This window comes from Homo sapiens, chromosome 2 (genome assembly GCF_000001405.40).
Source record: "Homo sapiens chromosome 2, GRCh38.p14 Primary Assembly".
NCBI classification, from domain to species: domain Eukaryota; kingdom Metazoa; phylum Chordata; class Mammalia; order Primates; family Hominidae; genus Homo; species Homo sapiens.
This window is the reverse complement of record NC_000002.12, coordinates 73376966-73389220: the sequence shown is the minus strand read 5'-3', so window position 1 is coordinate 73389220 and position 12255 is coordinate 73376966. Positions and strand designations below refer to the sequence as shown.

The 12255-nt window shown below is 44.9% G+C and overlaps 1 protein-coding gene and 1 long non-coding RNA gene across 4 annotated transcripts in view, besides 4 other annotated features; one reads left to right on the top strand and one right to left on the bottom strand.

Moving 5' to 3' along the window:
- Positions 1–3463, bottom strand: part of ALMS1 (ALMS1 centrosome and basal body associated protein) — a 224162-nt gene extending 220699 nt beyond the window's left edge. The window contains 1 exon segment of one of the 2 annotated variants that reach the window (NM_015120.4): positions 3029–3463. In NM_015120.4, the coding sequence (NP_055935.4) occupies positions 3029–3352 (324 nt within the window). In that variant the 5' untranslated portion in view covers positions 3353–3463. 2 annotated transcript variants of the gene reach the window in all.
- Positions 2597–2836: an enhancer, noted in NCBI's record as "active region_16029". NCBI's record gives its function as "activates an Ori minimal core promoter by ATAC-STARR-seq in GM12878 lymphoblastoid cells {active_cell/tissue: GM12878}" and the evidence as "EXISTENCE:reporter gene assay evidence [ECO:0000049][PMID:35858748]".
- Positions 2877–3626: an enhancer, noted in NCBI's record as "H3K27ac hESC enhancer chr2:73612723-73613472 (GRCh37/hg19 assembly coordinates)". NCBI's record gives its function as "activates a minimal SCP1, AML or CMV promoter by ChIP-STARR-seq in primed H9 embryonic stem cells {active_cell/tissue: H9 hESC(primed)}" and the evidence as "EXISTENCE:reporter gene assay evidence [ECO:0000049][PMID:30033119]".
- Positions 2897–3066: a silencer, noted in NCBI's record as "silent region_11646". NCBI's record gives its function as "represses an Ori minimal core promoter by ATAC-STARR-seq in GM12878 lymphoblastoid cells {active_cell/tissue: GM12878}" and the evidence as "EXISTENCE:reporter gene assay evidence [ECO:0000049][PMID:35858748]".
- Positions 3227–3626: a silencer, noted in NCBI's record as "silent region_11645". NCBI's record gives its function as "represses an Ori minimal core promoter by ATAC-STARR-seq in GM12878 lymphoblastoid cells {active_cell/tissue: GM12878}" and the evidence as "EXISTENCE:reporter gene assay evidence [ECO:0000049][PMID:35858748]".
- LOC105374804 (uncharacterized) overlaps positions 3540–12255 on the top strand; it is a 33362-nt gene continuing 24646 nt past the window's right edge. For both annotated transcript variants that reach the window (XR_007087053.1, XR_007087045.1), the window contains exon 1: positions 3540–3768. This is a non-coding gene — a long non-coding RNA (uncharacterized LOC105374804). The remainder of the gene's footprint in view (positions 3769–12255) is intronic.

The window sequence follows — 12255 nt, the reverse complement described above, 5'->3', positions numbered from 1 at the left end:
CAAAAAACATGAAAAAATGCTCAACATCACTAAGCATCAGAGAAATGCAAATTAAAATCACAATGAGATACCATCTCACACCAGTCAGAATGGCTATTATTAAAAAGTCAAAAAACAGATGTTGGCAAGGATGAGAAGAAAAGGGAACACGTATACACTGTTGTTGGGAATGTAAATTGTTCAACTCCTATGGAAAGCAGTATGGAGATTTCTTGAAGAACTCAAAACAGAACTACCATTTGACCCAGCAATCCTACTACTGGGTATCTCTCCAAAGGAAATTAAATCATTTCATCAAAAAGACATCTGAGCCAGGCACACTGGCTCACACCTGTAATCCCAGCACTTTGGGAAGCCAAGGCGGAGTATCACTTGAGCCCAGGTGTTCTACACCAGCTAGACGCCATTAAAAAAAAAGAAAAAAATCTGTGCTCATATGTTTATCACAGCACCGTTCACAATAGCAAAGTCATGAAATCAACCTAAGTGTCCATCAACAACTGAATGGGTAAAGAAAATGTAGTATGTATTAATATACATTGTGGAATATTATGCAGCTATAAACAGAATGAAATCCTGTCCTTTGCAGCAACATGGATGGAGCCTGGAGGCTATTTATCAAGTGAAACAATTCAGAAACAGAAAATCAAATACCACATGCTCTCACTGGTAAGACAAGTGGGTACAATGGGTACACAGAGGCATAAAGATAAATGGGTACAATAAGTACCCACAGACATAAAGATGGAAATAAACAGACACTGGGGGCTCCAGAAGGAGGAGAGAAGGGCTGAAAAATTACCTATCAAGTACAATGTTACACTATCACGTACAAAGGTATATTATTTGGGTGAGAGGTTCACTAGAAGCCCAAACCTCACCATTATGCAATATATCCATGTTAATTACGTGCATATGTACCCCCAAATCTAAAATTAAATTAAAATTTTGTTTAAAAAACTCCTCCTCTAGGCTTCAAGATAAAGTTTGAATATTAATAGTTATTCAAGCAAGAAGTCACAGGACAAAATAAAAGTTAGAAGACCTAGTCAACAAGTGTGGCTTTAATTATGGTCTCTATGTAAATGACTTACAACTTGAAATCTCTAGCCCAGCCTTCTCCTTCAATCTTCAAAACCAAACTCATAATCTTAAGACTCACCCAACCAATTCCACCACCCACTCACAGCCACCACCTCCACCATAAATCTGGCCATATCTTAATATTGGCACAACCATTCAAACAATAACCTAACACCTGGCTACTTCACCTTTCACATCCCATCCGTTATTAAGTATGATGATTTTGCCTCTTAAATATCTCTCAAATCAGTCCACTTTTCCCTGTATCCACCAACACTTCCCTATTCCAAACTTTCATCATCTTTTGCCGGGCAATGCTGCAATGGTCTCCTAATTTATGCCCTTGACCTATGGCTACTGCTCCCCATCCCACCTTGCTATCACAGCTGTTCCACACTCTGCTATACACCTGACCTTTCTGAAACACCTAACTTATCATACATCCCCTCGTTTCAAATATTTTCTTCAACTCCCCAAAGCTCCAGAGATAAAGCCCCTAAATCCTTGGCATAGCACACAAAGCCTTGCAGTCTGTGCTCAAACCACGTTGGCTTCTGGGTCCTGGAAAATGCCATGCTCTCTCTCATCAACAGTACCTTTTCATGTGTTTTTCCCTCAGCTAGACGGCTCTTTCCCTCCCCTTTGCCTGATTAACCTTAAACTGTCTTCAGATATCAGCTCTATCATAACCTCCTCAAGAAGGCTTTCCCAACTTCACTGACAAGGCCAGATTATCTTACTTTATGCTTTCATAGAATATTAGCACATATATTAGTTTCACTTTATGTGATCATCTGAAATCTGTCTGCCTCCCTGTCTAGACCATGAACACAAGGAAGGCAGAGACCAAAAATGTTTGGGTTCACCAAGCTTTCCTTAGCACCCAGCACAATGTGTGGCACATGGTGAATTCTAATAATACATGTTCAATGAATTAAGTACCCCCTGGAATATTCACCAGACAAAACAACAACTACTGCTCATTAGTGACAAAACTCTACACCTTCACTGTCTGTGATGATGGAACTGTTCCATTATCTGCTCTGTCCAACATGGTAGCCACTAGCCTAGTGTGGCTGCTGAGCACTTGAAAACCGGTAAGAACAGACGCATGGAATTTTTCATTTAATTTATTTTTAACTCTTACTCAAAACTATAATAGTTTTCTCTTTAAGATGTAAAAAGCCACACGTGGCCAGTGGCTACTGTACTGAGCAGGGCAGGTCTTGCTCCTCGAAAAGCAGTAAGTTAAAAAAAGGGGGGTAAGGGCAGCAAATTAAATGGAGAGTTATTTTCAAAATGATCTTCGGGGGTCTACCATGAAATCGGCTTTCTCCATTGTGTATTATCTGTGCTTTGTAGTTTTGCAGACTGTTTGGAGCCGCATCACAAGCCTCCTGCATTCCAAGCCCCTCCTATCGGCTGGGGAACCCCTTTATTGCTACAAATGATGGTCCAGGGGAGGAAAACCCGCGGGGAGCCTCTCCAGACTAAGTGATCGCGCGGTGTACATTATCCACATTACTCCCTCAGGGGAGTCCTGCAATTCAGTCAAGCTCATCTGTTCACTGTCTCCCCAACAAGATGCTCCCCAGGCAACCACTCGCTCCGGTCCTACACCGCCTTTTCCCTCCTTCAAGGCTCGACACACCCGTGGTCCTCTCTCAGCGTTTCTCACGGGGAATGCAGGCTCCCCTGAACGTCTACGGGAGTTCAAAAGGCCCAGGACCCACCGAGGGGGAGGAAACGAGAAGTCTTTGCCACAAAGCCTGGGAGACGCGGAGCAGCCGGCCGGCACCTGGGCTGGAGTCTGGGCCGCCTACTAGCCTCAGCTGCGCGCGTTTTCTCCGTCAGGCGGCGTGACCTGCGGGCGGGCGGAGCGCTCGGGGCCCAGCCTCCACCCCCAACTCGCCGCGGCTCCACACCCCTCCCCGGCCCGCCTCACCTTCTCCAGGGAGGTCCGCTCGCCCTCCGAGTAGCGGTGCTGCGGGGGCGACAGCGGAGGCAAAATCCTGCCGGGGTGCGCCTGCAGCCAGGCCTTGGCCTCCTCGTCCTCCTCGTCGTCTATACTTTCCAGATGCTGGGGCCCGTAGTGAGAGTCGGAGTCCAACTCCCGCCCCGCCTCTTCCTCCACCTCCTCCACGACCACTACGTCGTCCACGTTCGCCGCCGCCGCCGCTGCAGCCTCCTCCTCTTCCTCCTCCTCCTCCTCCTCCTCCTCCTCCTCCTCCTCCAGCTCGCCCGGCCATGGCAGATCCTCGGGCTCCATGTTGGTGTCTCGCTCTGGGCGGCAGAGGAGGAGGAGGAGGGGGGGAGGGAGGGGAAGGGGAGAGCCCTGACTGGCGGTTGTGGCCCAGCTTAGGCGCAGTGCCGCCCGCCTGGGCGGGGCCGGAAGACCGCGCGCGCGTTGCTAGGGACGCCGCGCGAGGCCCGGCGGGAACGCCTTAGGGCGGAGGTTTGCTACAGGCGACGTTGCCGCCTCGCCGCCGTCACCGGCCGGGACCTTGCGAACTGTACTGTAAGCTCACAATAAACCGGGACTGGGCGCCTTCCGGGGCGCAGAGGGCCCCGCGCAAGGACAGTGTAGTTCTCGGCTGGGGTCGAGTTTCGCCCCTGCACAGAGAAGAGATCAAACTCTAGGACGTACCCGTTATAATCACACATGCAAATTATAAAGTTTTAAAGGTTGAGTATCTCCTAAAGTGTCAAGCTGTATGGTGGGCGCTTGAACCTAACCGTGGAAAAGTGTCACGGGTTGTTAGAGGGATTAAGAACTGGGCACTGGCATCAGAAAGATCGGAGTTTGAATCCTGGCATCACCACTTAAAGTGGTGTGACTTTGTGTTTATAAAACGATGATAATAGGCCATCGCATAGGATGGGTGTGATAATTAAAGGAAATAATCAATGTGAAGGACTTAGTGATAGGTTGGTTATTGTACAATAACTCATTAGATGCTCACGGTTCTGTGAGACAAGTATTACTATTTCATGTATGAAGAATCTGAGGCTAAAAAAATTAATTTGCCCAAAGTTTCTTACCTAGTAAGTGGCTGACTCAGTATGCCATCCCAGGTCCTCTGTTAGTGTAGGAATTGCCCTGGCCTAGACCAACCAGCTGTTAAAGGATAACAGAGCAAATATTTATACTGATAGTACATATGTTTTGGTGGTTCGTCAATGACTTTGGAGTGCTTTAAAAACAAAGATTTCCTGACCGCTTCAGGAACCTCTACGAAATGAATGGCAAATTAAAGTATCTTAAGATGCCATGTAACCAGACACCACCTGTACCCCCAATAACCTATGGGGAAAATTTTTAAATTAAAATTTTAAATAATAATTATAATCTTGAGATGCTTCACTGTTACCAAAGGAAATAGCCATAATTAAAGTGGAGTCCAGCAAAAAGTCTTCATGGTATTACCCACAATAGTAGAGATACATTGATAATGATGCTGAACCAATGTTGGTGGGGCAATTTTAGGGTTATTGCCAAGGATGTATGTCCTGCCTACCTGTCAATGACCCAATCCTGGCAAAACTTTAAGGGTAGAACATGAACTGGAGCCCAGTCTTGGAGTTCTGTTGAACACCTCTAAATGGACTATGAGTACATTAGGGTTATTTATTCTTAAGGGGTTTAGGGGTTCTCCTTGCCGGAGACCTATTACTGTAATAGTAGAAAAGAATTTATTAATTTTGTATTCCTGAATGTGAAATCTCAATGTTTATCTCCAGTAAGAGGACACACATTTCACTGATATTAAATAACTGTAAAGCTTTACCTTTTTAGAAACTCCGCTATCTTTTTGCATCCACAAATTTCAGGAAAGATAAAGAGAACTAATAGAATTCTAAAAAATAGCTTTCAAAGTTCTCTAACTTCCATCTAACTTCCAAAGCCCAAAGTACTTCTATTTGCCTTGATGGCAATAAGGTCAGTCCATTCTAAGGCCCATAAGTTATCTCCTTCTGAGTTAATAACAGGCTTCCTCATGTATTTGTGAATTACTTCCAATACTAGATGCTACTAATATAAGCTGTTATCACTAATTGCTGCAGGAGACTTCTAAGATTAACTCCTGCTTTATCAACAACAGATGGAAGCTGCATTCTCAAAGCACCCACCTAAGCAGCTTCTGAAGTTAGAGATTTGGTCTTCTGAAAAAGCATTAGAAAACAATTTCCCTTGAGCCTCAATGCAAGAAAAAAAAATGTCAGGTACTATCAACAACTGACCCAGGAGTAAAACTAGAAGACATTGATCCCTGGATTCATATTACACAACTAAAAAGACATGCATCATTTTCTCCTGGCTACCGGACATCCCATACTATTGGAAGACCTCAAACTGAAGATTCCTGGGACTTCCCCAGAAGCTGCTTACTGCAGAAATGGGCAGTTTATACCCAAGACAACAGGACAAGATTAATTTCTGATTCCTTGGCATCTCTTACCCTACCACTAATCTTGCTTATTGCATTTTGACACCCTTGATTAACTAACAAATTGATTTCTCGGGGAGATAACCCTTATCTTCATCCTGTTACTTTTGACTCCCTATGTTCTACTACTTAAAGTAAACATTATTTGGCCAGGTGCAGTGGGTCATACCTGTAATTCCAGCACTTTAGAAAGCCAAGGTGGGAAGATCACTTGAGACCAGGAGTCTAACTAACGTAGGCAATGTAGCAAGACCCCCATCTCTAAAAACAATAAAAAATTAGCTGGGCATGGTGGCACGTATCTGGAGTCCCAGCTACTCAGGAGGCTGAGGCAAGAGGGTCCTTGAAGCTCAGGAGTCCAAGACTGCAGTGAGCTGTGATCGTGCCAATGGGCAACAAAGTGAAACCCAATCTAAAAAAGAAAGAGAGAAAGGGAGAAGAGAGAAAGAGAAAGGAAAGGAAAGGAGGGGAAAGGGGAAAGGGAAAGAGAAAGGAAAGGGAAGGAAAAAAAGAAAAGAAAAGAGACACTTTCTGGAGTGTTTTTCTCAAACCGTAGCTACTGCTTTTAAGGAATTGTTGACAAAATTTAATAACTGTGCTTTCATAGACTTCATCAAGTAGATTTTCTTCTGTAGGTCACTTCTGGTACTTAAGCATTCCCCACAAAGTTCATCCCAAACCTCAGTCTTCTAAAAATTGGACCTTGACCTACACTTCAACAGAATGTTTCCCTGAAGTCATTACAATCCTATGAGAAAAACCTAGCCCTTCAGGAATAGAAACTAATATTGGGGCTATTCTTTATACACTACTCAGGTCATTCTCTTCCAAAACATTCCAGCCTGCTTTGGAGAAACCTGTTTAACTTCATCCAAGAAATCTGCTTATCCTGAGGGAAAGAAAGTTGGCTTGTCCCTGATGTGCTAAATAGCCCTTATCCTCCCAATGCAGTCTGTACTCCCCTAGGGTACTACTTATTTATGGGAACATCTGGCTTGCCCACTAACTTACCCTTTATATTGAAGCTAATTGTTAGAGACCCTCCAGTGCTTAAAATTACCACCCCTCCAGTAGACTGTGTTTCTTTGAAAAGAACACCCAGAAACCAACAAAATGAAGCAAGCACACAATCACAGACTACTTGGGAGAACTCCCAGGAGGGATAACTGACTCATTTTTCATGTGTACTCTGTGAATGAAATTCCTACAACAAAGATAATACAACAGAAAGAGATCAGATCCAAGAGAGGTATTTGACCTTAGCAGACCCCATAGATAGCAAAACTTCTGCTATAGCAGCTCAGAAAACCACTTAAATTTGAATTCCTTAGCCAGAGTTTTCATGGATAATTATATAACCCTTGATTTCTTCTTAGCTGGCCAAGGAGGAGTTTGTATTTAGCAACACTTGTCACCATACTCACATACTACTGGGCCAGTAGAACATACTACAGAGTCAGTAGAACATGAGTAAACTGAAAAGAGAAAATCCTCCTGGCTCCCTAAAAACAGACTCAGCTGGATTCTGGGGCATGTTTTCATTGCCAGGACTTTATAATCTGGGTCCCTGTCTTCAAGACTTTTTACAAAGATGGATAATCATTTTGTTTCTGGTAATTGCTTCTTTTGCACTTGGTCAACGTATCCTATCCACAGCCCTAGTTTCTGCACAGCCATTGTCATATCATATGATTCAACAAATCCTACAACAGAAGGCGGAATTAACCCAACTACAGACTGCATCCTCCAGATCAGCATAAATTTAGCAATAGTGAAAATCTGAATATCATAGATTAATGGTCCTGTGGCCTGACTTTGTCTACCCTTGACCAACTGGAGGACTCACTAAATAAATCTAGGGTGCCTGGGAACTGGTCTGACACAGGTAACTAAGCCTCAGGGTTGTCACATGCTGGCCTGGCATTCACCATCATCCCTCAATATTCTCCTGTTGAGCATAAATAATCTCACAGAACACCGACATCACACATGGTCTTTCTGTGACTGAAGAAACGAGACATGACAAGACCATTTCATAACCTTGCCTAAGCACAGACAAAAACAACGTTACTGTGCACATCAAACACCCTCCTTTTCCAGTTAATTTGATGGCTGTTTTTTTAAATCAATTATAGCTCTACCATCACTGTGGTTTGTTTTTTTTTTTTTTTTTGCTGTCACCTAGGCTGGAGTGCAGTGGCACGATCATGGCTTACTGCAGCCTCGACTTCACCAGCTCCAGTGATCCTCTCACCTCAGCCTCCTGAGTAGCTGGAACAACAGGTGTGTGCCACCGTGCTCAGCTAATTTTTTTTTTTTTGGTAGAGATGGAGTTTCGCCATGGTTCCCAGGCTGGTCCTGAACTCCTGGGCTCAAGCAGTCCACCCGCCTTGGCCTCCCAAAGTGCTGGGGTTACAGGCTTGAGCCACTGTGCCCAGCCCATCACTGTATTCTTTTCCTCTGAATAAAATTTATTAAGATGCCCAATCATAGAATTACTCCCTCATCTTGACAGCATCCAATACACAGAAAAGCACTGGCCTTTAAAACTTGCCCCCTAAAATCACCTAACACAAGGCAAATCCTATAACTCCTAGTAACATCCCAATATGGAGATCTCTCATGATCTCCCATGGTGTGCGTTCTCCCTTGTTGCAATGAATAGTGAAACCAACACTGGGTTGCTAGAGAACATTGACACATTAAACTAAAGGAAGCAATTATGTAAGTTCTAGTTCTACCCTGGTTTTAATTTTTTATCTTTTTTTAGGCATAAGGTCTTACTATTGCCCAGGCTGGACTCAAACTCTTAGGCTCAAGCAATCCTCCCACTCAGCCTCTTGAGTAGTTGGGACTACAGGCACATACCTACACACAGCTTGCCAGTTTTAAACTTCCCATGAGTGGAATGTATTCCTAGTTACCAGAATCCTGGTTTCTGTCCTGAAGCACAGTACCTCCTGATCAAAGGTTTACTGAGTACTTTCTAGGTTCCAGGCACTGTACTAGGAAACAGGAATGTTGCCTGCTGGTACCAACCTACTATGGCCAAGCAAGTGCTCCTAATGATGTTTCCCTCTAGTAGCAGCAGGTATTAAGATGCTGCTGCCAAAAGGAGCTGAGGGTCCTGAGAATGGGAAAAGATAGGTGGAGGCCCATATGGAACATGAGACCTACCCATATACTTTGAACAGAGGATCCTATACCTGGGACTCATGGTGCAGGTTCCTGGCTATCAATCCCCATAGCAGGACTGCACCAAATGAGTACATAAAAACGCCAGACAACTCAAAATGGAGCAGATTCCTGCTGCCCCACATCTAACTTGCCCACAGGCCCAAGAGACTGCTCAGACTAGAATTGCCTCTCTCGTGGTGCAGCCCTTTCTTCATCTAGGGGCCAAAAGGCAATGAAAGAAGGAGCAAGGGCAGCATGCCCTCCTTTCCCCCTCCTACATCCATTGTTATTGCTGCCACCTTCTTCTCCTCCTCCTCCTTTTGCTTCTCTTCCTCCCCTCCTTGTCTTTCTTCTTCTTTTCTCTCTGTTTCTGGATAAACAAAGATGATAGATGAAAAAACCTGTCAGTTATAGAAAAAAATCTTAATTGAGGTTTGAGAAGGCAAGCATAAGACAAAAGGCAGACGACAGGAAAAAGTGAAGGAACTGGTCATTAAAACCATAAAACACTGTAGCATGTGCACACTGCTACAGAGTCTGCATTTGCTATGTTCCCACATATCCCCCATTGCTCACGCTTTTATTTGATTAAGTTTCCTGATCAAATGTCAGAGGTCTTCTCTGATCATCCAGTCTAAGATATAAAACAGCAGACATACCCGACATACTCCATCATTCTCCAACCCATGACTCTGCTTTATTCCTACACCTATTATTAGCTGACATTACATATGTTTGTCTATATTCTGTCTCCACCCACTAGAATGTAAGTGTCATGAAAGCAGGGAGCCTGTCTTTTTCACTTTAGCTCTAACGCCTGGAATTATGCCTGATGTATAGTTGCCCTCAATGTTTGTCCAATGAATAAATACATAAATGCCCTTTTGGTACTCCTCTCATAAAAGAGATTTAAAGAGAAAAAGAGGCATTCTCCTCCCCCACTTTACCTTAAATGTCTGGAAAATCCAGGCACTTTGAGGGCTCTAAGACTTTGGTGGTGGTACCCAGAGATTTCCCAAGGCAGCTTGGACATCCACAGAAGAACATAAGGTCTGTCAGGCAAGAGCAGAAGCACCTGTAGAGGCTAATGGAGGAATTAGTGCTTCAGAGATAAAACCACACATGAGAAACCTCAGTCATGCCCAGCGGAGGCCAGTGTACCTGCAGGAGAGGCTGTCCACTGCTGGGCGGGTGGATCACCTGAGGTCAGGAGTACAAGACCAGCCTGGCCAACATGGCGAAACCCCATCTCTACTAAAAACACAAAAATTAGCCAGGTTTGGTGGCATGCACCTGTAGTCCCAGCTACTGGGGGGCTGAGGCAGGAGAATTGCTTGAACCCAGGAGGTGGAGGTTACAGTGAGCAGAGATCGCACCACTGCACTCCAGCCTGAGCAACAGAGCAAGACTCCATTCCAAAAACAAAACAAAAGAAAAACCTCATATGTGGAAGGCCTAACCCCCAGTGTAATGGTATTTGTAAGTGGGACCTTTGGGAGATAATTAGATATAAATGAGGTCATAAGGGTAGAGTCCCAGTGATGGGATTAGTGCCCTTTTAAGAAGAGGAGAGAGAGATTGCTCTCTCTTCACCATGTAAAGACATAGCAAGAGGGTAGCCCTCTACAAGCCAGGAAGAGGGCCCTCGCCAGACACTGAGTCTGCTAGTGCCCTGATCTTACACTTCCCAGCCTCTAGAGCTATGAGAAATAAATGTTTAAGCCACCCAGTCTAAGGAATTTTGTTATGGCAGCCTATGTTGAATACAACAAACTGACAACTCCCAGAAATATGTGAAGGCAGGTCTGACATTCATCTGGTGTGCACGAATGCTGTTCTGGTTGTTAAAATACTGAGATACTTTCATATTCATTGGTAAATAGCCAATGCCCCCAAGCACCCTTCCCCTCTTCACCCCCATTACCTTCTACCCAGACCTCCCCAGGATCCAAAAACTAAAGGGTTAATGCCTGGTACGGCTTGAGCCCCTGTTTTGATTGGTCCATGCACTTGTCATTCCAGGTGCTAAATATTTTTAATATCACCACTACCTGGAGTAAAGGAGAGATGAGGCCCTATTTGAAGAAGAACCAGAGCCAATGAACTGGAAGATTACTTTTATGTGTTTGTTTGTTTGTTTGTTTGTTTGAGACGGAGTCTCGCTCTGTCGTCCAGGCTGGAGTGCAGTAGCGCGATCTCGGCTCACTGCAAGCTCCGCCTCCCGGGTTCACCCCATTCTCCGGCCTTAGCCTCCCGAGTAGCTGGGACTACAGGCGCCCACCACCATGCCCGGCTAATTTTTGTATTTTTAGTAGAGACGGAGTTTCACTATGTTGGCCAGGCTGGTCTCAAACTCCTGACCTCATGATCTGCCTGCCTTGGCCTCCCAAAGTGCTAAGATTACAAGCATGAGCCACCGTGCCCGGCCGAGAGGTTACTATTAACATAGACTTACCTGAAGCCAAAGTGCAGGTTCTGGTGACATTTTTTAATTTGTAAAAACATTATGGGCTGGGCGCTGTGGGTCACGCCGGTAATCCCAACACTGTGGGAGGCCCAGGCGGGTGGATCACCTGAGGTCAGGCATTCAAGACGAGCCTGGTCAACATGGCAAAACCCCTCCTCTACTAAAAATACAAAAATTAGCAGGGCATGTGACATATGCCTATAATCCCAGCTACTCAGGAGGCTGAGGCAGGAGAATTGCTTGAACCCGGGAGGCGGAGGTTGCAGTGATCAGAGGTCGTGCCATTGCACTCCAGTCTGGGCAACAGAACAAGCCTGCATCTCAAAAAAAAAAATTATGAAACTCCAGCTTACTGGAGCTGTGCTAAGGGCAACCCAGGGAAGGAGTCTCTGAGGACCCTTGAACATGGACCAGCATGGCAGTGACAGGAGTCATCAAATTGAGCCTACTACCTGTGAAAGATGAAGCTCAGGGGGCCACTGGGAACTGCAGAGTCAGCTGGCTGTCTCTTGTCAAAAGATTCTGCTTTCAAACCCAAGCCTTGAAGGTTCAGGATTTTTTTTTTTTTTTGAATGGGAAAAGAGGGTGTAGAGGCAAATAACCTGAGAAAGTCAGGTTCCAACAGCTATCCAGATTACGTTTCTCCGTAACCCCTTTCCAATCCTAAGGTTCTGCCGTGTTACCATGGCGGGTCCAGGTCTGTCCTAAGTCTCCAAAGGCATTTACTTGTGAAAATAAATGAAGACTAATCAAATGAGAACAAGCAAAGTCTATTTATTCTGAACTTGCTGTAGCAAGGGAGTCAGCCACTGTTATTTGTGTTTTGGCAGACTCAAAGGCAGGCAGAGGAGTGGGAAAATCTTATAGTGGAAAAGAAAGGAAGGCTTCAGGTGTGCCCTGATTGGAGGCTGTTGGCACAGGAAGCTGTTGGAGGGCTAACTGGAAACTGGGCATCTTACAGGAGTTGTTTGGGGGGGAATATCTGGTTTTCTCTGGTTAGTCCTAAGTTGCAAGCAAAGACAAAACTTAGGGAAGCTGTCAAGTTATTAAAGTCCTAGCCATTTGGGGCTGATTATTATA